At 42.7% G+C, this 24,689-nt stretch overlaps 1 pseudogene, besides 2 other annotated features; it reads right to left on the reverse strand.

Moving 5' to 3' along the window:
- RMP24P1 (RMP24 pseudogene 1) lies at nucleotides 4,119-4,976 on the reverse strand (annotated as a pseudogene).
- Nucleotides 15,258-16,457: an enhancer, noted in NCBI's record as "CDK7 strongly-dependent group 2 enhancer chr4:84309555-84310754 (GRCh37/hg19 assembly coordinates)". NCBI's record gives its function as "activates an origin of replication core promoter dependent on BRD2, BRD4, P300/CBP, MED14 and CDK7 cofactors, with strong dependence on CDK7, by STARR-seq in HCT116 cells {active_cell/tissue: HCT116}" and the evidence as "EXISTENCE:reporter gene assay evidence [ECO:0000049][PMID:35650434]".
- Nucleotides 16,943-17,760: an enhancer, noted in NCBI's record as "OCT4-NANOG hESC enhancer chr4:84311240-84312057 (GRCh37/hg19 assembly coordinates)". NCBI's record gives its function as "activates a minimal SCP1, AML or CMV promoter by ChIP-STARR-seq in naive H9 embryonic stem cells {active_cell/tissue: H9 hESC(naive)}" and the evidence as "EXISTENCE:reporter gene assay evidence [ECO:0000049][PMID:30033119]".

Consider the following 24,689-nt stretch of genomic DNA (forward strand, 5'->3'; position numbering starts at 1 on the left):
CAGCAGGACTGCTCTAGAGATCTGTGCCACCTCCCATCTCTGAACTATCTTTAAGCTGATTTTCTGGCTCTTTGTCTACCGTGTTTGAGTGATGAGACTGTTTTTCTTGGTAGGTTCTCAGATACTCCTCAGGATGCTTAGGTTCTCAGGGATACCTGTTGCCTCAGCTGCACAGCATGGCCTTGGCTCACTACCTGGCCTTCGAGGTTCCAGCAGCAGGCATGCACCCTTCAGTAACCTGGTGCAGGACCCATCACACTACAATTAAAATGTGTATGTGGGAAGAATGCAACCCAAAGGGTTAGCATGAGTTATTTCCTGATGAGGAAATGTTTTAATGAACCTTTTTTTGGCTTTTCTTTATTTTCTACATTTTCAGCAGTGAATATTAGTTTTATGATACGAAAGCTCTTTCCTCTTAATAAATATTAATTTAAAAACAAAAAAATTAAAAGTTACAAGACAGGCAATATCCTCTAGATCACTCTTTTGCTAGTATTTTTGTCTTTTTTTAACCTTCAGTCCAGATTTGACATTGCTGTTGAAGCACTTACAAGTGTTCAGCATTCCTTGCTCTTTGGATGGCTATGTAGGTAGCAGAAGGGAAGGTCTTTCTTTGGGATTTTGCAGTCTCTGCAGGGGTTCAACATTTGCCTCCCAACCTGAATCAGAGCTTATTTTATTTTAGTTTTTTGCAATTGCACAGCTAATCACTACTTCTTATGTAAGCTCAGCTATGGGAATTATTTTTATTAAGCATAGCTCCTATTCATGAAGGATAGAATAATTTTTTAAAAAAGAAATTAGTACAATGGTGTAGGGAAGAAAGAGTAATATTTTTTCCTTGCTTGTTGCAAGGTTCATGACTTACGCCCCATAACAAAAACAAATTAACAAGGGAAAAGTGTAACAAATTTATTTAACCAAAGTTTTATGTGACATGGCAGCCTTCAGAAATGAAGAACCCAAAAATGGAGGAAACTGTGCACTTTTCTGTTTAGGTTTGATGAAGAGTAGATACTTGTGGAGAAACATGATTGGATAAGGGGGTATGATCTAACAGTAATAAACTGGGGGACTTAACAAGGGCTGTGTGTTCAGATTTATCTTGGTGTCTCTGTGTGTTCATTCCCTTTCTCTGGCTGTCACACGAAGGTCTTATGACTGAGAAACAAAAAAGAAATCCTAAGTCCCCCAACTGACTGAAGGGACCCTCTCTTGGCCAAGAGGACCCCAGAGAAACTTTGAACACTGAGTTCCTGGACATGACAGGACAGAAAGTCAGACACGCCTTGTATTAGTTCGTTTTCATGCTGCTAATAAAGACGTGCCCAAAACTGGGAACAAAAAGAAGTTTAATTGGACTTACAGTTCCACATGGCTGGGGAGGCCTCAGAATCATGGTGGCAGGTGAAAGGAACTTCTTACTTGGCAGTGGCAAGATAAAAATGAGGAAGAAGCTAAAGCAGAAACCCCTGATAAACCCATCGGATCTTGTGAGACTTATTCACTATCACAAGAATAGCATGGGAAAGACTGGCCCCCATGATTCAATTACCTCCCCATGGGTCCCTCCCACAATATGCGGGAATTCTGGGAGATAAAATTCAAGTTGAGATTTGGGTGGGGACACAGCCAAACTATATCAAACCACCACTGGCCCCTCCAAATCTCATGTCCTCACATTTCAAAACCAATCATGCCTTCCCAACAGTCCCCCAAAGTCTTAACTCATTTCAGCATTAACCCAAAAGTCAACAGTCCAAAGTCTCACCTGAGACAAGGCGAGTCCCTTCCACCTATAAGCCTGTAAAGTCAAAAGCAAGCTAGTTATTTCCTAGATACAATGGGGGTACAGGTATCGGGTAAATACAGCTGTTCAAAATGGGAGAAATTTACCAAAACAAAGGGGTTACAGGGCCCATGCAAATCTGAAATCCAGCATGGAAGTCACATTTTAAAGCTCCAAAATGATCTCCTTTGATTCCAGGTCTCACATCCAGGTCATGCTGATGCAAGAGGTGGGTTCCCATGGTCTTGGGAAGCTCCACCCTTGTGGCTTTGCAGGGTACAGCCTCCCTTCTGGCTGCTTTCACAGGCTGGCATTGAGTGTCTGCAGCTTTTCCAGGTGCATTGTGCAAGCTGTTGGTGGATCTACCATTCTGGGGTCTGGAGGATGGTGGCCTTCTTCTAACAGCTCCACTAGGCAGTGCCTCAGGAGGGACTCCGCATGGGGGCTCTGACCCCACATTTCCTTTCTGCACTGCCCTACCAGAGGTTCTCCATGAGGGCCCCATCCTTGCAGCAAACTTTTGACTGCACATCCTGGCATTTCCATACGTCTTCTGAAATCTAGGCGGAGTTTCCCAAACCTCAATTCATGACTTCTGTGCACCTGCAGGCTCAACACCAAGTGGAAGCTGCCAAGAAATGGGGCTTCTGTCCTCTGAAGCCACAGCCTGAGCTCTACGTTGGCTCCTTTCAGCCACAGCTAAAATGGCTGGGACACAGGGCACCAAGTCCATAGGCTGCACACAGCACAGGGACCCTGGGCCTGGCCCACGAAACCATTCTTTTTCCTCCTGGCCTCCAGGCCTGTGATGGGAGGGGCTGCGTGAAGGTCTCTGACATGGCCTGGAGACATTTTCCCCAAGGTCTTGGGGATTAACATTAGGCTCCCTACTACTTATGCAATTTTCTCCCAGTTTGAATTTCTCCCCAGAAAAAGGGTTTTTCTTTTCTATTGCATGTTCAGCCTGCAAATTTTCCCAACTTTTATGCTCTGCTTCCCTTATAAAACTGAATGCCTTTAACAGTATCCAAGTCACCTCTTGAATGCTTTGCTGCTTAGAAATGTCTTCCACCAGATACCCTAAATCATCTTTCTCAAGTTCAAAGTTCCACACATCTCTAGGGCAGGGGCAAAATGCTGCCAGTCTCTTTGCTAAAACATAACAGGAATCACCTTTGCTCCAATTCCCAACAAGTTCCTCATCTCCATCTGAGACCACCTCAGCCTCGACCTTACTGTCCATATTGCTATGAGCATTTTGGGCAAAGCCATTCAATAAGTTTCTAGGAAGTTCCAAACTCCCACATTTTCCTGTCTTCTTCTGAGCCCTCCAAACTGTTCCAACATCCGCCTGTTACCCAGTTCCAAAGTTGCTTCCACATTTTCAGGTATCTTTTCAGCGATGTCCCACTCACTTTACTAGTACCAATTTACTGTATTAGTTTGTTTTCATGCTGCAGATTAAGACATACCCGAAACTGGGAACAAAAAGAGGTTTAATTGGACTTACAGTTCCACATGGCTGGGGAGACCTCAGAATCATGGTAGCAGGTGAAAGTTACTTCTTACATGGCGGTGGCAAGAGAAAAATGAGGAAGAAGCTAAAGTGGGGCTGGGCGCAGTGGCTCACACTTGTAATTCCAGCACTTTGGGAGGCCGAGGTGGGCAGATCATGAGGGCAGGAGTTTGGGAACAGCCTGGCCAACACAGTGAAACCCCGTCCCTACTAAAAATACAAAAATTAGCTGGGCGTGGTGGTGGGCGCCTGTAATCCCAGCTACTCAGAAGGCTGAGGCAGGAGAATCACTTGAACCCAGAAGGCGGAGGTTGCAGTGAGCTAAGATTGTGCCACTGCACTCCAGCCTGGGTGACAGAGCTAGACTCCATCTCAAAAAAAAAAAAAAAAAAAAAAAAAGAAGCTAAAGCGGAACCTCTGATAAACCCATCAGATATTGTGAGACTTATTCACTATCACAAGAATAGCATAGCATGGGAAAGACTGGCCCCCATGATTCGATTACCTCCCCCTGGGTCCCTCCCACAACACCTGGGAATTCTGGGAGATACAATTCAAGTTGAGATTTGGTGAGGAGGCACAGCGAAACCATATCACGCCTCATTATACCCCCTCCCTCACTAACCACCATTAGACTTTTTTCCCTAAGGATTAAACAGAAACCAGCCCTTTGGAAAGACTGATTTCACCCTTCATTTAACCAACACCCTGACACTGCCCCTCCCTTTTGCAGCTTCCACAAAACAACCAACCAGCATTCCTTCATGATAAGAGATCACCAACCATGGGCTGGTTCTTTTTTGTTGTTGTTTTTCACTCAGATCAAGTTTCCATGTATTCAAAAAATAAATAAGTTTAAAAAGTTGTTTCACTAACTTCAGTTTCAGAACTGACTGACATCAGGCATTTCTTATTGTCAAAGTCCACCCTTCAGAGAAGATAAGAAATTTCTGAAGTCTATCTTTGGATTCTTTTGGGATTCATTCTGACTAAGGAACATTTTTTTACAAGAAAAACCTGGAATTATGTAGAAAAACATTTCCCCAAACTGGGAGGGAGCCAAGAGGGAGCCAACATTTCATTGAGGGAAATGTTTCTTTGTTTTGCTCACATTCTTTGGGGAGCAAGAAAATACTGACTCTCCAGATGTAGGTGTTCTGGAAATCAATACTGGGCTTTTGCCTTTGGAACCAGACATCTCATGATTTGGGTTTGCAGTCCTTCTCTTTGGTGTCTTCAGGCTGAGTTTACTTGAGGAGTAGTAGGATTGCTCTTCAATGCTGATAGAAAGCTTCTACTCTTACCATGATGTTTCACTGTTCTGCGGCATGTTTTACAAGTAATCAACAATACACTTTTGTCGTCTTTGAATTTTTTCACAATTTTTGCTTCTTTAAAACTGAGTGTATAATTTCATGCTTCTTGATTAATCAGTTTCTGTATTTTGGGTGTCAATGTGGCTTTGGGTTTGAGACACACTCAAGAGTTATCCAGAATCAGCAACTGCAAACAGTGTGGACACATTTCTTCAAAAGTACTCTTATCATAGGAGATAGCAGGCTTGGCCTTGGCAGCTGTTGTGCAGTCCCTGCTCTGAAGCTTCAAGGTAGTGCTTCTGTATCATGGCTGTCACTGCCACTTCCTTGTCACAGGGACCTGGTGAGAAAACATGGCACCAGAAGTTGGCTTCCACCATGGGATGGTTCTTGCCAGCCTAAGGAGGATGTGCAGTGAGGGTTTTCATGTCCTCGGCTTCATATTTTGTTTTTTGTTTGTTTGTTTGTTTGTTTTTTGTTGTTGTTTCGAGACAGTCTCACTCACTCTGTTTCCTGGGCTAGAGTGTAGTGGCATGATCACAGCAGTCTCCCCAGCTAATTTTTGTATTTTTTGTAGAAATGGGGTTTTGCCATGTTGCCCGGGCTGGTCTTAAATTCCTAGGCTTAAGTGATCTGCCCATCTTGGCCTCCCAAAGTGCTGGGACTACAGGTTTGAGCCAATATGCCTGGCCTGTTTCACCTTTTGACATCAGAGGCCCAAAAACTTAACCCTGGGATCATGCTAAGGCCACCATTTTTGAACATGGGTCTCATGGAGAGGTGTAAGGTAAATGAACGTGCTTTGGTCAAGAATAGGCCGAGGCAGACATGCAGGCCAGCATGACTCAGCAAGTTTGGAGTGCAGGCGCACAACTCCACTTGTTGTATAACGCGTGTGTGTAAGCTCATACTTGGCTTAAAGCCACTATGTTTTTAAAAGCTATAGCTGCCCTGCAGACACTGTACATGGGACACACACTCAGAGGGAGAGAGTGAAGCTCCTGACCTTGTAGGGAGAGCCAACTATCTTGCAGATGGATGAGGGGAGCCAGAAACCAGCAAGTGTGTCAAGGAATGCAGCTGTAAGTGTGGGAGTGACAAAAGCTGCAGAGCTGGCTGCACAGAAGGGGTGCAGCTAGAGCAGACAGCTGAGACAAAGGAACAGTGTACGAGAGCTGCTGAATAAAACCATATTTCACCTGCCTATGGCCCCCTGAGTGTTCTTTCAGCTATTTGCCACCCATCCACCCACTCCCCTTGGACCTCAGCATAGGCTGGAACCTGACACTTGGTGTGACAAGAGGCATGGAGGTCAATTGCACATGTGTTTCTCATTTTATAAATATTCATGACTCCTCCTATAGCTTATTGAATATGTATATTTGGCCACCCACTTCAGTATAAATTCCTGTCTTATTCTTCTCACCCTTGAAGTGCTTGTCTCTGGCTTCCGATGGGAGATTATGCTTCCCAGCCTGTCAAAATGGCCACTTGCAGGCTGCAACCCTTTATGAAAAATAAAGCTCTCCTTTCCATACTTATGAACCTCATCATTCTTCAGTTGCCACTTTTTTTGAAACAAAGGTGATTTTAAGATCACATACAATTTATTTGAAAATAATACTAATATCTATTATAATTTGGTCTATTATATATAATTATATATAATTTGGTCTGTTATAATTTGGTTTTTAACCAAATTCTAATAGATATAGTAGCTTTCTGAGCTACTATATAATAGCTTTCTAAGAACATTTATATATGTTCATTAATACATACATACATTTTATGTCATATATAATAGCTCTCTAAGAACATTTATATAATATAATAGCTTTCTAAAAACATTTAAACAACAGAGGACTTGATCTTAAACCAATCAAGATGAAATAAGAAAATAAGAATAACTTTGTGTTTCATTTCCTCATCTGTTAAATGAAAAGAAAAAGAAAAAGAAAAAAAATAATAATTTGGTCAAATAGCCTATCACGAAACCATGAAGAAATTTGTGTGTCCATATCTCTGACAGATCTTGCACTTTAACCATTGTAAGTAAAATGGCATTTGTTTGGGCAATATAAGTAAAAAAAAAAAAAAAAAAAAAAAACCCGAAACAAAACAAAAAACTCCCATTTCAGAAAACTTCTTTACAAAGAGGAGAAAGAAAACAGTGTTATGATTAAATAAGCATTAAATCAGAATGTGATGTGCAGCTCAGACAATCTGCTAAAGAGATTGCAAAATCAGAAAGAAATCCACTGACATATAGCTAGCTGGACATAACCCATCACATTAGGCAGGTGATTTGTGAATTTGAGTCAGGTGATAGCCAAAGTTAGCCCACCTCCTCCCAGGAGACTGGGAAGATAGGGTATTATCTTCCTTGATGGTTACATTTCAAAGAAATGACTCCCAGGTCCTTGAGAAAACATTTTTGAATCATGAGCCTGGAAAGAGGCTTATTTAGCTATTTAAAAGACTTACATACATTTGAAAAGGGCTAAGAAATTCTTAGAAAAAAGAGGGGGCGAAGTAGAGAGGTGGGTCTCTTTCCTTATTTTCAACAGGAAGAATTAAGTTTCTTATTCACCCTTACACACACTCTGGGGTTAGTTAATAAACTGAATTCATGTTAGATAATGAGGGATAAAAGGTAATTCAGCAAATATCAAGGATACAGTTTTCCTTTTTGGCAAAGCAGCAGAAACATACTTACTTTCCTAATTGCCTAGGCCAGGGTTTTTCAACCTTGGCACTGTAAAGGAGAAAAAATATCTTTCCTTCCCCTCATTTTAGGTTCATTGGCTGGGGGTCCCTGTAACAAAAGACAGATTAACAAGAGAAAAGCATCCAAATTTATTTAATATAAGTTTTACATGACAGAGGAGCCTTCACAAGGAAATGAAGACCCAAAGAAATGGAGTAAACCTGAGCATTGTTTTTGCTAGGTTTGATGAAGAGTGGACAGTCTTGGAGAAATATAATAGGGCAAAGAGTATGATCTAATGGTAGTAAACTAGGGGAAACAGCAAGTCTTCCTTATTAATTCTTCTCTGTGTCTCTGTGTCTTTGAAAATAAGGATGTTTCATTTCCCTTGGTGTATGGAGGACACCTCTCATATGAGGTCTTATGATCTGCTTCAGGGGAAGTTCAGAAAATCCTTTCCAGGTTTTTTCCTTTTCCTTCTCCTTTCCTTCCCATTTTCCTCTCCTCTCCTCTCCTCCCTTCCCTTGCCCTCCACTCCCCTCTCCTCTCTTCTCTTCTCCTTTCTTCCTTCTTCTTACAGGGTCTAGCTATATTGCCCAGGCTGAATTCAAATTCCTGGGCTCAAGTGATTCACCCACCTCAGCCTCCCAAAGTGCAAAGATTACAGTCATGAGCCACCATGCCTGGCCTGTTTTTTGCTATAGGGGTGTCTGCTGTGAACCTTGTGACAAGTGAGGAGAAGATACTACTTTTTCTCCCCTACATCATTCTAATTTCAGTGATTGGCTTTGCTGTGCCAGGCAACCCCGGTTCAGTTCTGTAACACCCCCAGATGATGTCTGATTACCCTGGCCTGCCTTCAGCAAGAATCCTGTTAGGCTGGTTTAGCCAGAACCCGCCTTACCCTGCATGTTTCCTTTTAATAATTTTCCATCCACTGACCCATTTCCTGCTCCTTGGCTCTAAATTCCCACTTGCCCACGGTATATTTGGAGTTGAGCCCAATCTTTCTCCCCTACTGAAAAATCCCATCACAGTGGTCCCTATACGTATCTGAATGGTCCTGAATAAAGTCTGCCTTATGAAGGGGTTAAGAACCTGCCACCCCACAATATGTTCCGGCATATTGAGTATTTTGAGTTAGAGGCACTCAAAAAACGGCAGATGCGAGAAGATAACTCTGACCTTCCTTCTGTTTCCTAAAAGCAGGAGATGAAATTCCTACATGAGGGATATTCTGCCTATTCCAGAAGGAAAGTATCATTCTTATCATCAAGGATGGGAAGTTGAGGCTGAGGGGAATCTGAACAAACCATAGACTAATCCTTATCTTCCTAGCCACTGCACTACCCAATACCCTTTGCTGCATCACATTTTCACAATTTACTACTCTTTAATTCTTTATACAAGTGTTCATCTCTAGCAGCATCTTTGGGTCTTCATTTCCTTATGAAGTCCCCTGTGCCATGTGAAATCGTACTAAATTTTCTGTATGTTTTTTCCTGTTGATCCCTCTTATGTCAATTTAGTTCTCAGCTTGGGGGGTGAAAAAAACAAATCCTGAGGGCATTTTGCCTCTCTTTATGTATGGGAGGAAAAATAATGCCCTCCTCCAACCTTCATGAGCTTTATAACAAAAGACAGATTAACAAGAGAGGAACAAATGGAAGTTTAATAACATGTGTACCCCCTGTAACATGGGAGATAACCCAGAGAAATGAGTAAATCTCTAGAGTAGATCTCAAAGAAAGATTTTAAAACCTCAGGCTTGAATAGCATTATTCTCTGAAACAAAGAAATAAGGATGGAGAGAATGGCCAGCTAAGATAAGATGGCCAGAAAAAGCATCTTAAACAAAGGCACATTTGTTGTACAGATTTAAGTTGGTGCCTTCCTTCTTTATTGATTAAGCATCTCTAAAGATTTAGTCTTCCTTCTCCTCCTGGTGCAGAGAGGGAGACACACTTAAAAATGGAGACTGCCTTTATAGCTGCAAATTTCTCTTACACAAAAGGGTAACTTTCCAGAACTTCTCCTGTGTCTGCAGTTTCTCAAAATAACCAGCTCAAAATAAACCTTATGCCAAAGAGGCCTATTTTGGGGTGGCATATTCTGGACTCTGGCAGTCGTATTTTGGAGTGGTATGTCCTGAGCCCTGTCACTTACTGTGTTTAATAAGGATCATCAAATAATTTTTTCTCTAGCAGAACTTAGTGTGCCACTGGCATGCAGCACTCACAGGTTCCCCATGTTACTGGAAAGGGGTCCCAGTCTAGACCCTAAGAGAGGGTTCTTGGACCTCATGCAAGAAAGAATTCAGGACAAGTCCATATGGTAAAGTGAAAGCAAGTTTTTAAGAAAGTGAAAGAATAAAAGAATGGCTACTCCATAGGCAGAGCAGTGGCATGGGCTGCTCAACTGAGTATACTTACAGGTATTTCTTGATTTTATGCTAAACAGGGGTGGATTATTCATGAGTTTTCTGGGAAAGAGGTGGGCAATTCCTGGAACTGAGGGTTCCTCACCTTTTTAGGCCATATGGGGTAACTTCCTGATGTTGCCATGGCATTTGTAAACTGTCATGGCACTGGTGGGAGTGTCTTTTAGTGTGGTAATACATTGTAATTAGCATAAAATGAGCAGTAAGGATGACTAGAGGTAACTTTCGTCATCATCTTGGTTTTGGTGGATTTTAGCTCGCTTCTTTACCACAACCTGTTTTATCAGCAAGGTCTCTGTGACCTGTATCTTCTGCCAACCTCCTATCTCATACTGTGATTAAGTATGCTTGACCTACTGGAATGCAGCATAGTATGTCTCAGCCTTATTTTATCCAGCACCTATTCAAGATAAAGTCACTCTGGTTCGAATGCCTCTGACACCCATGCCGTCCTTTTTTCCGAATGGGTCAGTGAGGTGGAGGTGGAAGCACACGCCTTTAACATCCTCTCCTAATCTCCCTCAGCACTATGTTCCTACCTCTCCTCTTCAATTCCTCTTCTTAACACTTTTGATACAGTTATTTATGAGGATGCCTTATCTCTGCCGCTAAGCTGCATGTTTCATTAGGACTGTATCCTATTAGATTCACCTTTGTATCCTCTGCAGCACACAGCAAACCCTCAATAGAAAGTATGGGTGTCATGAAACAACTTCAAACAGGAACCAAACTGTAATCTACCTGGTCTTAAATTGATGCCTTTCTGGTTTCCACAGTAAAATGAGAGAAAGGTTTTCTGCAGTGTTCAGATTCTGGAAGCTAGGCCCTTTTCTTCCCCCTTAGATCTCTGGACTTCATCTTTCCCTTCTCTGTATCATTTCTTGCTCATATTTATGGAAACACACCGTGGCCAAACAGCTCTATTTTTCCTCCCTTTGCTGGCCTACAACTGTTTCTCCAGTTCCCATTGTCCTTAAAGGGTACCAGAATATCTCAGCCCAAAATATGCCTTTTTGGCTTATGAATTATTTTGAGCTAAAGGCAATTAAGAGCCAGCAGATACAGGAAAAGCTCTTTATCTCCTGATGACTGCCTGAAAACAAAGTGTATTAGTCTGTTTTCGCACTGCTGTAAAGAACTACCTGAGACTGGGCAATTTATAAAGAACAGAGGTTTAATTGACTCAGTTCCACATGGCTGGGGAGGACTAAGGAGTCTTCCAATCATGGCGGAAGGCAAAGGGGAAGCAAGGCACATCTTAAATGACAGCAGGAGAGTGGGGTGGAAGTGCCCCACACTTTTTAAACCATCAGATCTCATGAGAACTCACTCACTATCACGAGAAGAGCAAGGGGGAACATCTGCCGCCAAGATCCAATCACCTCCCACCAGGCTCCTCCTCCAATTTGACATGATATTTGGGTGGGAACACAAATCCAAACCATATCATTCTGCCCCTGTCCCCTCCCAAATCTCATGTCCTTTTCACATTGCAAAATACAATTATCTGTTCTCAACAGTCCCCCATTCTTTACTCATTTCAGCATTAACTCAAAAGTCCACGGTCCAAAGTCTTACCTGAGACAAGGTAAGTCCCTTCCATCTATGAGCCTGTAAAATTAAACAGTTACTTCCAAGACACATTGGGGTACAGGGATTGGGTAAATGCTCCCATTCCAAATGGGAGAAATTAGCCAAAACAAATGGGCTACAGGCCCCATGCAAGTCCGAAACCCAGCAGGGAAGTCATTAGATCTTACAGCTCCAGAATAATCTCCTTTGATGCCATGTCTCACATCCAGGTCATACTGATGCAAGAGGTGGGCTCCCAATGCCTTGGGCAGCCCCACCCCTGTGGCTCTGCATGGTATAGCCCACATGGCTGCTTTCACGGCTGAAGTTTAGTGCCTGTGGTTTTTCCAGGCACACAGTGCAAACTGTCAGTAGATCTACCATTCTGGAGTCTGAAGGACAGTAGCCCTCTTCTCACAGCTCCAGTAGGCAGTGCCCTAGTGGGGACTCTGTGTGGGGGCTCCAACACCACATTTTCCCTCTGCACTGCCCTAGAAGAGGTTCTCCATGAGGGCACCCCCCACCTGCAGTAGACGTCTGCCCTGGACATCCAGGCATTTCCATACATCCTCTGAAATCTACGTGGAGATTCCCAAACCTCAATTCCCAAACCTGCGCACCCATAGGCCAATACCACATGGAAGCTGCCAAGGCTTGGGGCTTGCACCCTCTGAAGCCATGGCCAGAGCTGTACTTTGGCCCCTTTTAGCCACAGTTGGAGCTGGAGCAGCTGGGATGCAGGATGCCATGTCCTAAGGCTGCACAGAGGAGCAGGGCCCTGGGCCTGGCCCACTAAACCATTTTTTCCTACTAGGCATCCAGGTCTGTGATGGGAGGGGCTGCCATGGAGGTCCCTGAAATGCCCTGGAGACATTTTCTCCACTGTCCTGGCTATTAAAATTTGGCTCCTCTTTACTTATCAAAATTTCTAGAACAGACTGGAATTTCTCCCCAGAAAATGGCTGGCTACCACATGGCTGGGCTGCAGATTTTCCAAACTTTCACGCTCTGCTTCCAGTTTCAGACAATCTCTTTGTTTGTGCATATGAACATACACTTTTACAAACAGTCAGGTCATATCTTGAATGCTTTGCTGCTTAAAAATTTCTCTTGCCAGATACCCTAAATCATCTTTCTTAAGTTCAAAATTCCATAAATCTCTAAGGCAGGGGCAAAATGCTACCAGACTTTTTGCTAAAGCATAGCAAGAGTGACCTTTACTTCAGTTTTCAATAAGTTCCTCTTCTCTATTTGAGACCACCTCAGCCCGGACTACATTGTCCATAGTCATCATCAGCATTTCTGTCAAAAGCCATTCAACAAGTCTCTAGGAAGCTCCAAACTTTCCCATATCTTCCTGTCTTCTTCTGAGCCCTCCAAACTGTGCCAACCTCTGCCCATTACCCAGTTCTGGCATTGTTTCTACATTTTCAGGTATCTTTATAGCAGTGCATTACTCCTGGTACCAATTTTCTGTGTTAGTCTGTTCTCACACTGCTATAAAGAACTACCTGAGGCTGGATAATTTATAAAGAAAAGAGGTTTAATTGACTCACAGTTCCGCAGGCTTAACAGGAAGCATGACTGGGAGGCCTCAAGAAATGTACCATCATGTTGGAAAGGGAAGCAAGCACCCTCTTCACATGGTGGCAGGGGAAGGAGGGGAGGCTCCACATCACTTTTAAACAATCAGGTCTCCTGAGAACTCACTCACTATCACAAGACCAGCAAGGGGGAAATCTGCCCCCATGATCCAATCACCTCCCACCAGGCCCCTCCTCCAATTCAACATGAGATTTGGGAGGGGACAAAAATCCAAACCATACCACAAAGTAATTTTTTTGTAAAAAAGTTTATATTTTTGAAGGACACTTCCATTTGTAAAGATGTCTCCGTACCAAGGACACAGCTACTCCAGGGAGACAAGTCTTATCCCCTCCACCCCACCCCCACCGCCAGAGAGTATTATCTGCATAACAGGACAAGTCTTCTTTACCTTACATTTCTCCCCTCACCTACCCATAACTTGCTTCCTCTGCTCAGAAGCCCAAAGACCCTTTTATTTGTGTAGCTTAGTCTGTGTAAAAGCATCAAGCATCTGGCTACCTCCTTGAGTCACATTTTCTCTCATTTGTACATATATAAATTAAACTGTGTTTTCTTTCTTGTTCACCTGCCTTTATCAGTTTGATTTGCGGGCCTCAGCCATTGAAGCTAGGAGGATAGAAGGAAAAAGATTTTCTTCTCTATATCCCCCAAACACTAACCAATTTCCTGTTCCTATAAAGAATTTAAGGAAGACTGGCATTGGAAAGTCCCTGATAGTGATGAGGAAGACCAAGCCATGCCTACCTCTTTTATCAGAGAGTGTCCTGTTTGGAAAACAGAGCCCATCTCAGATAATTTTGTTGAGGGAATTTGATATAGGGAACCAAATACAAAAGTCTTGAGAGAATTGAAAAGTCAAACAAAGGACAAGGAGGCAAGCCAGATATTAGCAACAGCAAGAGGCTACTACTACCCACAGGACTAGAAAGAACAAAAGAAAAGGTGGTATTGGGAAGCCAGGAGCCAGAACCACCACCATTGGTGGGAGTTAACCACTTTGGAGCCTGCCCAAGGAGCTGAGGCTGCAGAGAGGCTGCCTCAAAAAAGCTGGGACCTTAGAGGAGACGCAGCTGGAGATGCTGCCAGATCTCCCGCCAGTGCCTCCCACTGGCCTATTGAGAAGGAAAAACTTTTCCTTTACTATCTTACATTCGGTAGCTCAGGGCCTGTCAATTTAACAGACAAAAGACAGAGTCACAGGAGAAAAGACAGTTTGTGTGTGCAATGCACACATGAGTGCTCAGTGAGGAGTCACTGGGTGTGGTGTGGTGGTTGGAATTTGGGGCTTACATTCCTAACTTCATAGGTGAAAGGGAGAAAGGAGAAAAGTCTCCTCATGAAAGAACAAATAGATTTCTTTAGGAAAGACAAATAGGTTTTTAGGGGAAAAAAAACAGGAGAAAAGAAAGTTTTTAATAATGTTCGTTTGTAAGTAGTCTTTCTGTCTTCTTTCTGGCCATGAAACCACACTGAAGAGGGGATTTATGGTAGGTTAACTCTTGGTCTCTCTCATGGGAGAAAATCTGCTTCAAAGAGGAAATTTATGGCACCCTCATTTAGAAGTTTCTGCTTTTTGTCAGAGAAACGAAGCTCTGAGAGGGCTCCTTTCTGTATCTGTTGAATCTCAAATGTCTTCAGCTTAAAATAATCTTTATATTTTCCACCTAAATGACAGAGAGAGGCTCTCTAAAAGAAAAGATGTTTATTTGGGAATGGAACATTGCAATAGGAATGCACATACCGTAGTAAACTATGTGCATATTTAGGGAGGTGAAGGAACACAAAGGTTTTCAAAGGAAAAAATGAGGATTATGTAATTGTTTTGAAATAATTATCCTTGGCTATGAAGATCAATAATAATGGTGGCACCAGTCCAAGGTTGGACTGGCAGTTGCTGGGCAGAAGTCCTTGCAGAAGTATTTTATGTACAAAGTTGTGTTTTGTTGTAGAGTCTTTTTCATGATCAGGCATACAAGCATGAAACCCTCTCTTCATGGCCTTCCCTGGCTCTATTGTCAGGGTTTTCTTAACATCAGTGACTCCATTTTGACTCTGACATCTTTCACAATACCAGCTCTGGAGCTCCAAGTGGGTTCCCACAGAATAAACCTAACTGAGCACCAGGTCAACAAGGAAGACTGGGAAATGGAAATGTCCAGGCTCTGGCCCCTACAATTCTGAGAAGAAAAGAGCAGGGGATGGTTCTGAGAACAAATAAACAGCCATCCCATTTCTTTTTCTGTGGTCACCAGTGATGTAGCTCCACAGTTGCCCCTTTTGGAGTACTCCACCATGCAGGAAACACTGCCTACCCCCAGACAGCAAGCCCAGCAGTTCACTTCCGGGTTTCCTTGAATTGCCACTTTGATGGTACTGCCTGAAAAGCAAGAAGAGCTTTTAATCTGAGAGAACTCCACCGCCCTCCATAGTCGCATACATGTAACTACTAACTTACATTGGTTTGTAAGTAACACCAAACTGAGGTGCTTAAATAAAACACCCCAATAACACTCTGAAGCTTCTTAATTCACAGTATAGATGTGGCGAGTGTTCCCAGGGATAAGGAGTGGAACTCATTTCCTTCCAAGCCACTTGAATTACCTGTGGAACAATTTATCTGCAATTCTAGCAGAGACCAGCCAGGACATCTGTTACCAAGGGTGGGATTCAAGCTTCTCATTCAACAGATCATTGACATTCACTAAGGAAAAGCGAAATATTGAGTGGGTTTCTCTGATCTTAGTCTGCTTAGTGGTCTGTATCAGACACAGGAACTCAATTGATCATTATTTATGGATGAAACCACTCGCCATTATGAATCAGTAACATGCCAATTACGCATTTGGAATAAATAATGGGAAAGACTTTTTCTCATTGCTGAATTGATAATAAAGAAGTTTTGACAGTGTCTGCTCATTTTTCAGGAAAAGACAACAAAAAAGGACACATGAAACTTGTAGGGAAGCCAGCCTCCACCTGCCGTTCACTCTGCCCACAGTAACAAAAGTGCGGATGCAGCCACTGTTAGCGTGTTCTGCCCACGGCACTATTTAGTGATGCATCAGACCTTTCTCACATTTTTCTGTGTGGACTCATGTCCTGCTTTTGTGCTTCTCTCAAGGACTTTCGGCTTCTCCTGAAAGAACACGTGTTCATCCAGCCCAACATCTTGGCAAAGGTAAGTCTTTTTGGCAGCAGGGCCATTAATGATAGTAGGTGCTGGCAAAAGTGTAGGCAGCCAGTGCTCAGGGGAAGGCAGTGACCCAATTACTGACAGCTGTTAGAGCCTCGTTTCTCTGCCTTTTAGTTTCCCCAGCAGAGTGGTACTGACACCACCATCATTAACAGTTAATTTTGATTTAGTATGTCTGCACAGGCTGGGACAACTAAAGTGCAGCCTGTTGCCTATAAAAGCTCAACTCCCCCCTTGAGGTCATTTTGAATTGCACCTGCTCAGGCCCAGGCGATGGGTGGAAGAAGCTTTTCAAGGTCATTCCAGTTTCTAAAGGCTTCCTCCTGCAGCTGGAGTCTTGAAAGCTGAACTTAAGAGCTATGCAAAGGGCTGAAATAACTTATGTTAAAACCCTCTTTCTACTCCCCTGTGATCATACTGAGAAAAACCCAAGAACTAAAATTAAGTTAAAGACCAAGACCCAGGTTTTATAACAACCAAATGTCAAGCTTAGTGATGGTATTTTAAAAAACGAGCTAAGTGGAGCATTTTGAACAAATATTGGAGGGCGACAAAAACTCTCTTCTTGACCAAAGTTTATTTATTACTTTATGTTTTAAAAATAGATACAGGGCCTCAGTCTGTTGCCAGGCTGGAGTGCAATGGCATGATCATATCTCACTGCAGCGTGAATCTCCTGAGCTCAAGTGATCCTGCCACCTCACCCTCCCAACGTTCTGGGATTATAGACGTGAGCCACCATGCCCGGCTCAAACTTTAGAAAGACTCCTCTGAGTCCTCTTTTTGATGAGGCCTCAACTTTGGCCTGTAAAAACTACAGACTCTCAGAACAAATGATTTCATCCACACTCTCTCTTCCCCACTAAAAGACTCGAACCACCAGTAATATAGTCTCTAACAGTTAAGGCTGAACCCCTAGGATGACCCCTCACTCCCCTTAAAGTTCCTGCCTGGGAATGCTCAAGGCTGCTGGAGAATTACTGTTTGTTCCAGCCCAAACCTGGTAATAGACAGATAGGCCCCTTCACCTGCCTGCCTTAGAGCAGTACCTTTAGAAAGTTTGCAAGTGTAGATGCTTTCTCTCCCTCTTTGTGATGTTGATTTCCACTATCCAGAACTGTCTCCTCGAGAACCTGAGGGCCATTCCTTTTTTTTTTTTTGAGATGGTTGAAGTGATTCTCCTGCCTCAGACTCCTGGGTAGCTGGGATTACAGGCTCCTGCCGCTATATCTGGCTAATTTTTGTATTTTTAGTAGAGACGGGGTTTTACCATGTTGGCCAGGCTGATCTCAAATTCCGAATGACCTCCAGTGATCCGGCCGCCCAGACCTCCCAAAGTGGTGGGATTACTGGCGTGAGCCACTGCGCCTGCTGGCCATCTCTTTGAAATGCAAAAATTCAGGGAAATAACTCTGCTCTCCTTACCACATCTCCCAGTAGGGTGACCACTGCGCTCTAACTAGCAGCACTATCTCCTGTCATAAAGATGTGAGGGGAAATCTGCTTTTCTTCCACATAAGCACCAATCAACAAACCCAGTCCCTGCTCAAGCTCGGTCTGGTTCTCCCATCCTACTCCCTCATTCTCCCTTTCAAACACCCAGTCAACTCTGCACAATCAAAGTAAGCTCAGTTCACACTGTATCGCTTCCCTATTGCAGTGGTTATGACAGAATAATGTCTATTTTAGTACTTTACTAGTGTCTGACTTTGTCTTTGACAAAGGTCAGATACATTTTCTTTTTGTCATAGGGAGCAGGGATTAGTTTAGACAGACAGACCATGGAGCTAAGAAGACCAAGGTTATTATGAACTTGACCTCCAGATGGCTCTGCCCATATTGCAGTGGCATGTGCACACCTCTGTCAGGCGTTTCACACATGGCGTCCATTGATCACAAGGGAGACCAGATGAGAAAGTAGTGCTGGCTCAGCACAAACGACGTGCTGCTGCTCATTTGGTTTCTCGTTACTGCTTTAAGAGCTCCAGTATACAGATGGTGCAGCTCATAGCCTCTTCTTTGTACGCCTCAGCTGGAAGAGTACCTGTGCTCTTGCTCCCCCAAATGCCTTCTCTCTGACATCCCCAATTCTCCTGTCCTTTTAGCATCTAGTTCATGGTCCTCTTCTACCACAGTTCCTTCCCAGACTCTACCTCCCACTTTGCTCACTCTGGTGCCTAGAACATTTATCTTGCATACTCTACATCTCGTTTTGTTACCCTGGGTAACAAAATTTCACTACTCCTAAAAGAAATAAGGACCAAGTATTCCACCTCCTGCCTTCTACTAGTATCAGGCTAGTATGTTGAAACTATTCGGTAAAATGCACTTAAATATTTTAAATGAGCTTTCAATGGCTTTGACAAATTTCAGTAAAATGATGTTGAATCCCTTCATCATTTCTAGGATGGACATTAAACTTTTATTACAACTCTCAAAATGCTTACAAATTTATGCAAAATCAAACTAGTGTTGCTGCACTTTGTATGGAGTAAGTAGTCTATTGCCTATGGATTTTTTTTCCAATTTTATGTGTGATCATACAGTAATATTATATTTTACCACAAAGGAAAAACGTTTAGCATTTGGCATTATAATAGCTAGTTCTTTACACTCTCATTGCTGTTAGCCTACATTTTCATAACTTTATGCATATCTTTCTTATGATACTATCCTTTCTACCCATTTTAAAAAGAGAAGAAAGGTTTGGGAAAGTGTTAGAGACTAACTAGATGGCTCATAAAAACTCCTCTGCAGTTAGTAATTCAAACTTCTGTGTTAATTGGATCTTTGTTGTTCTGTTTTAATCAACTAAGGATAGGACTTTTACATTTTACTTAAACTGTTATAATACTATAAATAAATAATACTAATACTATAAATAAAATCTTTTCACTGGAGAAAAGTGCAATCAATAAATATGTTAGGTATCCATCACAGTAAACTTCTTCTTTTTTTTTTTTTTTTTTGAGATGGAGTCTCTGTCACCCAGGCTGGAGTGCAGTGGCATGATCTTGGGTCACTGCAACCTCTGCCTCCCAGGTTCAAGCCATTCTCCTGCCTCAGCCTCCCTAGTCGCTGGGATTACAGGCGCCTGCCACCATGCCCAGCTAATTTTTTGTATTTTTTAGTGGAGATGGGATTTCACTATGTTGCCCAGGCTGGTCTCGAACTCCTGACTTTGTGAACTGCCCGCCTCAGGCTCCCAAAGTGTTGGGATTACAGGCGTGAGCCACCACGCCCCGCCACAGTTAACTTCCATATAGTTTTCAGGAATATAAAATAATCCTGTCATGGGTATTTAACTTAGATTACTCATGTGCTAAGATCCAGAAGGAACCTTCCAGAATGGTGGTTTTCCATTTGTGTTCCACAGAACCCCAGGATGCTGAAGAGTTATTTTCAGGTATATTGGTTTTCTGTTACTGCTGTAACAAATTACCACAAATGTAGTGGCTTAAAACAACACGGCTTTATTTACCTTACAGTTCTGGAGGTCAAAAGTCTGAAAAAGGTATTTCTAGGCTAACAACAGGGGTCAGGAGGGCTGTGTTCCTTCTTGGAAACCCTAGAGGAGAAGCCGCTTCCTTGCCTTTTCCAGCTGCTGGAGGCCACCTGCATTCCTTGGCTTGAGGCCCTTTCCATCTGGCTGGTGGCTTCTTCCTCAGATCAGATCACTCTGACTAACTCGCCTGTCTCCTGCTTTCACTTATAAGAACCTTTGTGATTACGTTGGGCCCACCCAGATGATTCAGGTCAATCTCTTCATCTCAAGGTCAGCTGACTAGCAAACTTAATTCCATCCACAATTCTAATTTCCTCTTGCCCTGTAACAAAACATGTTTATACGTTCCCGGAATTGGGAGTTGAACTTCTATCGTTGGCCATTCTACTGCCTACTACATCAGGTATCTCACAGATTTGAGTTCAAATTCTAAAACAGCAAAAACAAGTTATTTAAAATATTTAGAAGAAACAAAACACACACTCAAATGCAAAATGTACAGCTTTCTATTTTATTTTATTTCTGGAGACAGGGTCTCACTTTGTTGTCCAGGCTGGAGTTCAGTGTTGCAATCACAGCCCACTGCAACATCGAGCTCCTGGGCTCAAGCAATCCTCCTGCCTCAGCCTCATGAGTAGCAGGGACTACAGGTGTGCAACAGCACACCCAGCTAATTTTCTTATATTTTGTAGAGAAGGGGGCCTCACTATGTTGCCCAGGCTGATCTTGAACTCCTGGCCTCAAGAGATCCTCCAGCCTTGGCCTTCTAAAGTGTCGGGATTACAGGTGTGAGCCACTGTGCCCAGGCAATGTACTGAATTTTAAACACCAGAGTCTACCAGTGTATTAACTTGTGCTGCTAGGTCACTCGTTTGTTTGAGCACAGACCTTAGACAAAAACTTCTGCTGCCATCGATGTGCAGATACCTTGTTTTGGTGGGGAGTTTAATCACTTAATACATGTGGTTCAGTTAAAGCAAAATCCAGTTATTTCCTCCAGAGTAATACCTATTCTGAATAGCAAAATTTTTATATATTGCCTACCTGTAGTTATCTTGAAAGACATTTATCACATCTTCAAGAAGTACTTCAAGTGGCCACATATCACTTCCATAGCTTCTGAAGACAAGGATCGAAGGACTATTTTAACAGTGAATAATGAAAGAAATGAAGCCCACTAATTCATCATACCCGGTTTTCTCCTCCAAGTTTGCTTTAGAACATTCTAAACAAAATCATAAGGGACAACAGAGAGCTCAAAGCCACCAACTCAGCGGGGAAGGCAGATCATACCTCCCTGCTATGCAGTGCAGAGTCCCTCGTTGGTGCACAGTCAGTGGTAGAAAACAATTGCCCAATATTTTGGTGTGATTATTCCAGCTGTCTGGAGGGTATGGCTCTCAGAAAACTATCCACTCATTTTATTTAGTCTGGTGCAATACAGCTTTAACCCACTGTCCTTTTTCATATGTATTAATGTCTTTCAGGAACATTTGAGTGAATCCATCATATAATATCCTGATAGATCCTACATTTTCACAAGAGGAACATTAAAAAATCATTGTCGCTTGTCAATATTGCATTTCTTGTGATCTTCACGCCTACCTACATGTTTTAAAAGTAGAAGAGAAATAATAATTTATCTCTTGAACTTGCTTCAACCTGGACATTTTCCATTGTATTTAGAGAGTGAAGACTGCTTCAGAGATACAAAGCTAACATCAGAACCTTTCTAAGAGACTGACATATTCCTATTCCAGGTTAGGTATGAAAGGTGAAGTCACAAATTAGATATTTTCCTTTGAATCTGATCTTTCTGAATTGTGCTAAAATAGCTCTCGCTGTGTTGACATCTACAGTCAATGAAGAATACGCCACAGAGTTCTAATAGGTTACATCCTTTGAAAAAAGGATAAACTGTTGTGCCCCCCAGAAATTTAAGTGGCTTAAATATATTAGTTTAATTCTCTCTCACAAAAAGCCTGAAGTCTCAGAGAGAATGTCCAATTCTGTAATTTCCTGCATGTCTCAAGGTGTTTATTTTATCTCTACACTAGGATGGGCATAGATTACTAGGGTCTTTTCTCTATACCTTTGAAGATACGGCTTTATTGTCTTTCAGCACAGCAATATATAGGTATTAATAGAATTCTCATTCCTTTGGACTGTAATCTGTTCTTATTTTTTTCTCTCTAGAGGCTTTATCCTGAGTGTTCTGGTTTTTCATTGCCATGTGTCTAGGTATTGGTCAGGACCTGGTGGGGCCCTTTCAATCTGTTTTTCATCAGCTCCAGGGAAATTTATTTTGTATTTATTTGTTCTCTCCCTCTGGTATGCTTTTTAGACATACAGATGTCTGAATCTCTCCTCCATGCCTTTCATTGTTTTCTTTCATAGTTAGCAATTTTTTTGTTTTATAGTTATGCAGCTCAGAAAGATTCTTCAACTCAAACTTGGAAATCACTAATTGGCTCTCCAGGTCTGACTATTCCTGCTATCTAATACAGCTTTTTTTTTTTTTTTTTTTTTTTTTTTTTTGACACAGAGTCTCACTCTGTTGCCCAGGCTGGAGTACAGTGGTGCAGTCAAGGCTCACTGCAACCTCCACCTCCTGGGTTTAAGCGATTCTCCTGCCTCAGCCACCTGAGTAGCTAGGATTACAGGCACGCACCATCATGCCTGGCTAATTTTCTGTGTGTGTGTGTGTTTTTAGTAGAGATGGGGTTTCACCATGTTGGCCAGGCTGGTCTCGAACTCCTGGACTCAAGCAATCTGCCCGCCTTTGCCTCCCAAAGTGCTGGGATTACAGGCGTGAGCCACTGTGCCCAGCCAGCTATTGAGTTTTTCATTTTGATCAAAATATTAACTTCTGGTATGATAATTTGATCTTTGCCTTCTATGTAGCATCCACCCTAAAATATTAATTACGGTTTTCTAAAATCTTGATCTGTTGCTTATTAATTGCCTCCTTAGATTGCAATTCTTCTGTTCACTGAATTGCTGTCTCTATTTTATGGTGTTGACTTTACTCATAAACATTTGGCATTCTTGGTTCTCTGAGCAACTTAGTACCTGAGAATCCTTGTTTTCTGCTTTTTCTGTTACCAGATTGTGGTAACACGCTGAGGGCTTGAGCCAGTAGCTTTTCTTGTGGGTGTGTGGAGGTTATCTTCTATCTTTCACTCCTTGCTGGATCCTGTAGGATACCATTTTAGCTTTGTAGGAAATGCCACTAGTGTGTACTATTCTGCATCAGTGAAGGAGTAGGAAAAGCCTGCTGGCCTAGGATGCTCCATTTGGCTTTTTAATCATCGTGGCCCTATGTGTTAGTGCCAGTCTTCACTGTTTTTCTGCACTATTATAAACTTGGGTTATTTTCAAATCTCTACTTTATTTATTTATTTTTTATTTTGAGATGGAGTTTTACTCTGTTGCCCAGGCTGGAGTACAATGGCGCGATCTTGGCTCACTGCAACCTCTGCTTCCAGGGTTCAAGCGATTCTCCTGCCTCAGACACCCGAGTGGCTGGGACTACAGGCGTCCACTACCACGCCCAGCTAATTTTTGTATTTTTATTAGAGAAGGGGTTTCACCATGTTGGCCAGGCTGGTCTCAAACTCCTGACCTCAAGTGATCCACCCACTTCAGCCTCCCAAAGTACTGGGATTACAGGCGTGAGCCATCGTGCCTTGCCCAAATCTCTATTTTAAATCATTTCATGGGATTTTAGGCAAGAGGAAGGACAAACACATATGCTCAGTCGGCCATCTTGATCCACTTCTTTCCAAACACATGTAGAGTAGCTTGTGCTGAAAATGAACACAATCAAAAACAGAATTATCAGTGTGATCAGGGATGAGTCTAGGCTCTGTCCCTTGATAATGGGGTGATCCTGGCAAGCCACACTTTCCACATTGGTAATGTGAGGTAAAAAACAGCATCTCGGATGGCTGCAAGGAATCATCTACACAAAGCATGAAAGTGTTCAGCATAGTGCCAGCACTTGGCAAACCTTCAATAAATGGTAGTTTATTGTTACCCTTATTGTCATTGAGTGTAACAAAAGAAAATATACACTTCTGGCTGGGTGCAGGATCACACCTGTAATCCCAGCACTTTGGGAGGCTGAAGTGGGCGGATCACCTGAGGTGAGGAGTTAGAGACCAGCCTAGACAACATGGTGAAACCCTGTCTCTACTAAAAATACAAAAATTAGCCAGGCGTGGTGGCACATGCCTGTAGTCCCAGTGACTGGGGAGGCTGAGGCAAGAGAATTGCTTGAACACGGGAGATGGAGGTTGCAGTGAGCCAAGATTGCACCACTGCACTCCAGCCTGGGCAACAGAGTGAGACTCCATCTCAAAAAAAGGAAAATAAGGCCAGGCGCGGTGGCTCATGCCTGTAATCCCAGCACTTTGGAAGGCCAAGGCAGATGGATCACCTGAGGTTGGGAGCTCAAGACCAGCCTGACCAATATGGAGAAACCCCATCTCTACTAAAAATACAAAATTAGCCGGGCGTGGTGGCACATGCCTGTTATCCCAGCTACTCAGGAGGCTGAGGCAGGAGAATGTCTTGGACCTGGGAGGCGGAGGTTTGTGGTGAGCTGAGATCGTGCCATTGCACTCCAGCCTGGGCAATAAGAGGGAAACTCTGTGCTCCTGTCTCAAAAAAAAAAAAAAAAAAAAAAAAAGCACACTTGTCAACATGATTATAAATTACTAGAAATTGTTATATAAAACCAAGTATAACAATGCTTATATATTTTTGGTGTTACTTCTTGTCATAATGAGATGGAGTTCAAAAGCTGCAGTGATGCTTGTGTGGAAGGGCTCTCACAAATGAAAGCATAAAGTCAGGAGGGCCTTACCTTAGTCCTTCCTGAAAAAATACCAGTATGGAGATTGGAGGAGAGGGTGGCTAGGTTTGAAAAGGCTCATACTTGACCAAAACATGGGTGTGCTCCAACAGAAAAGCCTCTTTTGGGTGGTTGTTTAAATTTATAATGCAAAGCAGAAGAGGCTTGGACATTAGAAAGAT

This window comes from Homo sapiens, chromosome 4 (genome assembly GCF_000001405.40).
Source record: "Homo sapiens chromosome 4, GRCh38.p14 Primary Assembly".
In the NCBI taxonomy this organism is placed as follows: domain Eukaryota; kingdom Metazoa; phylum Chordata; class Mammalia; order Primates; family Hominidae; genus Homo; species Homo sapiens.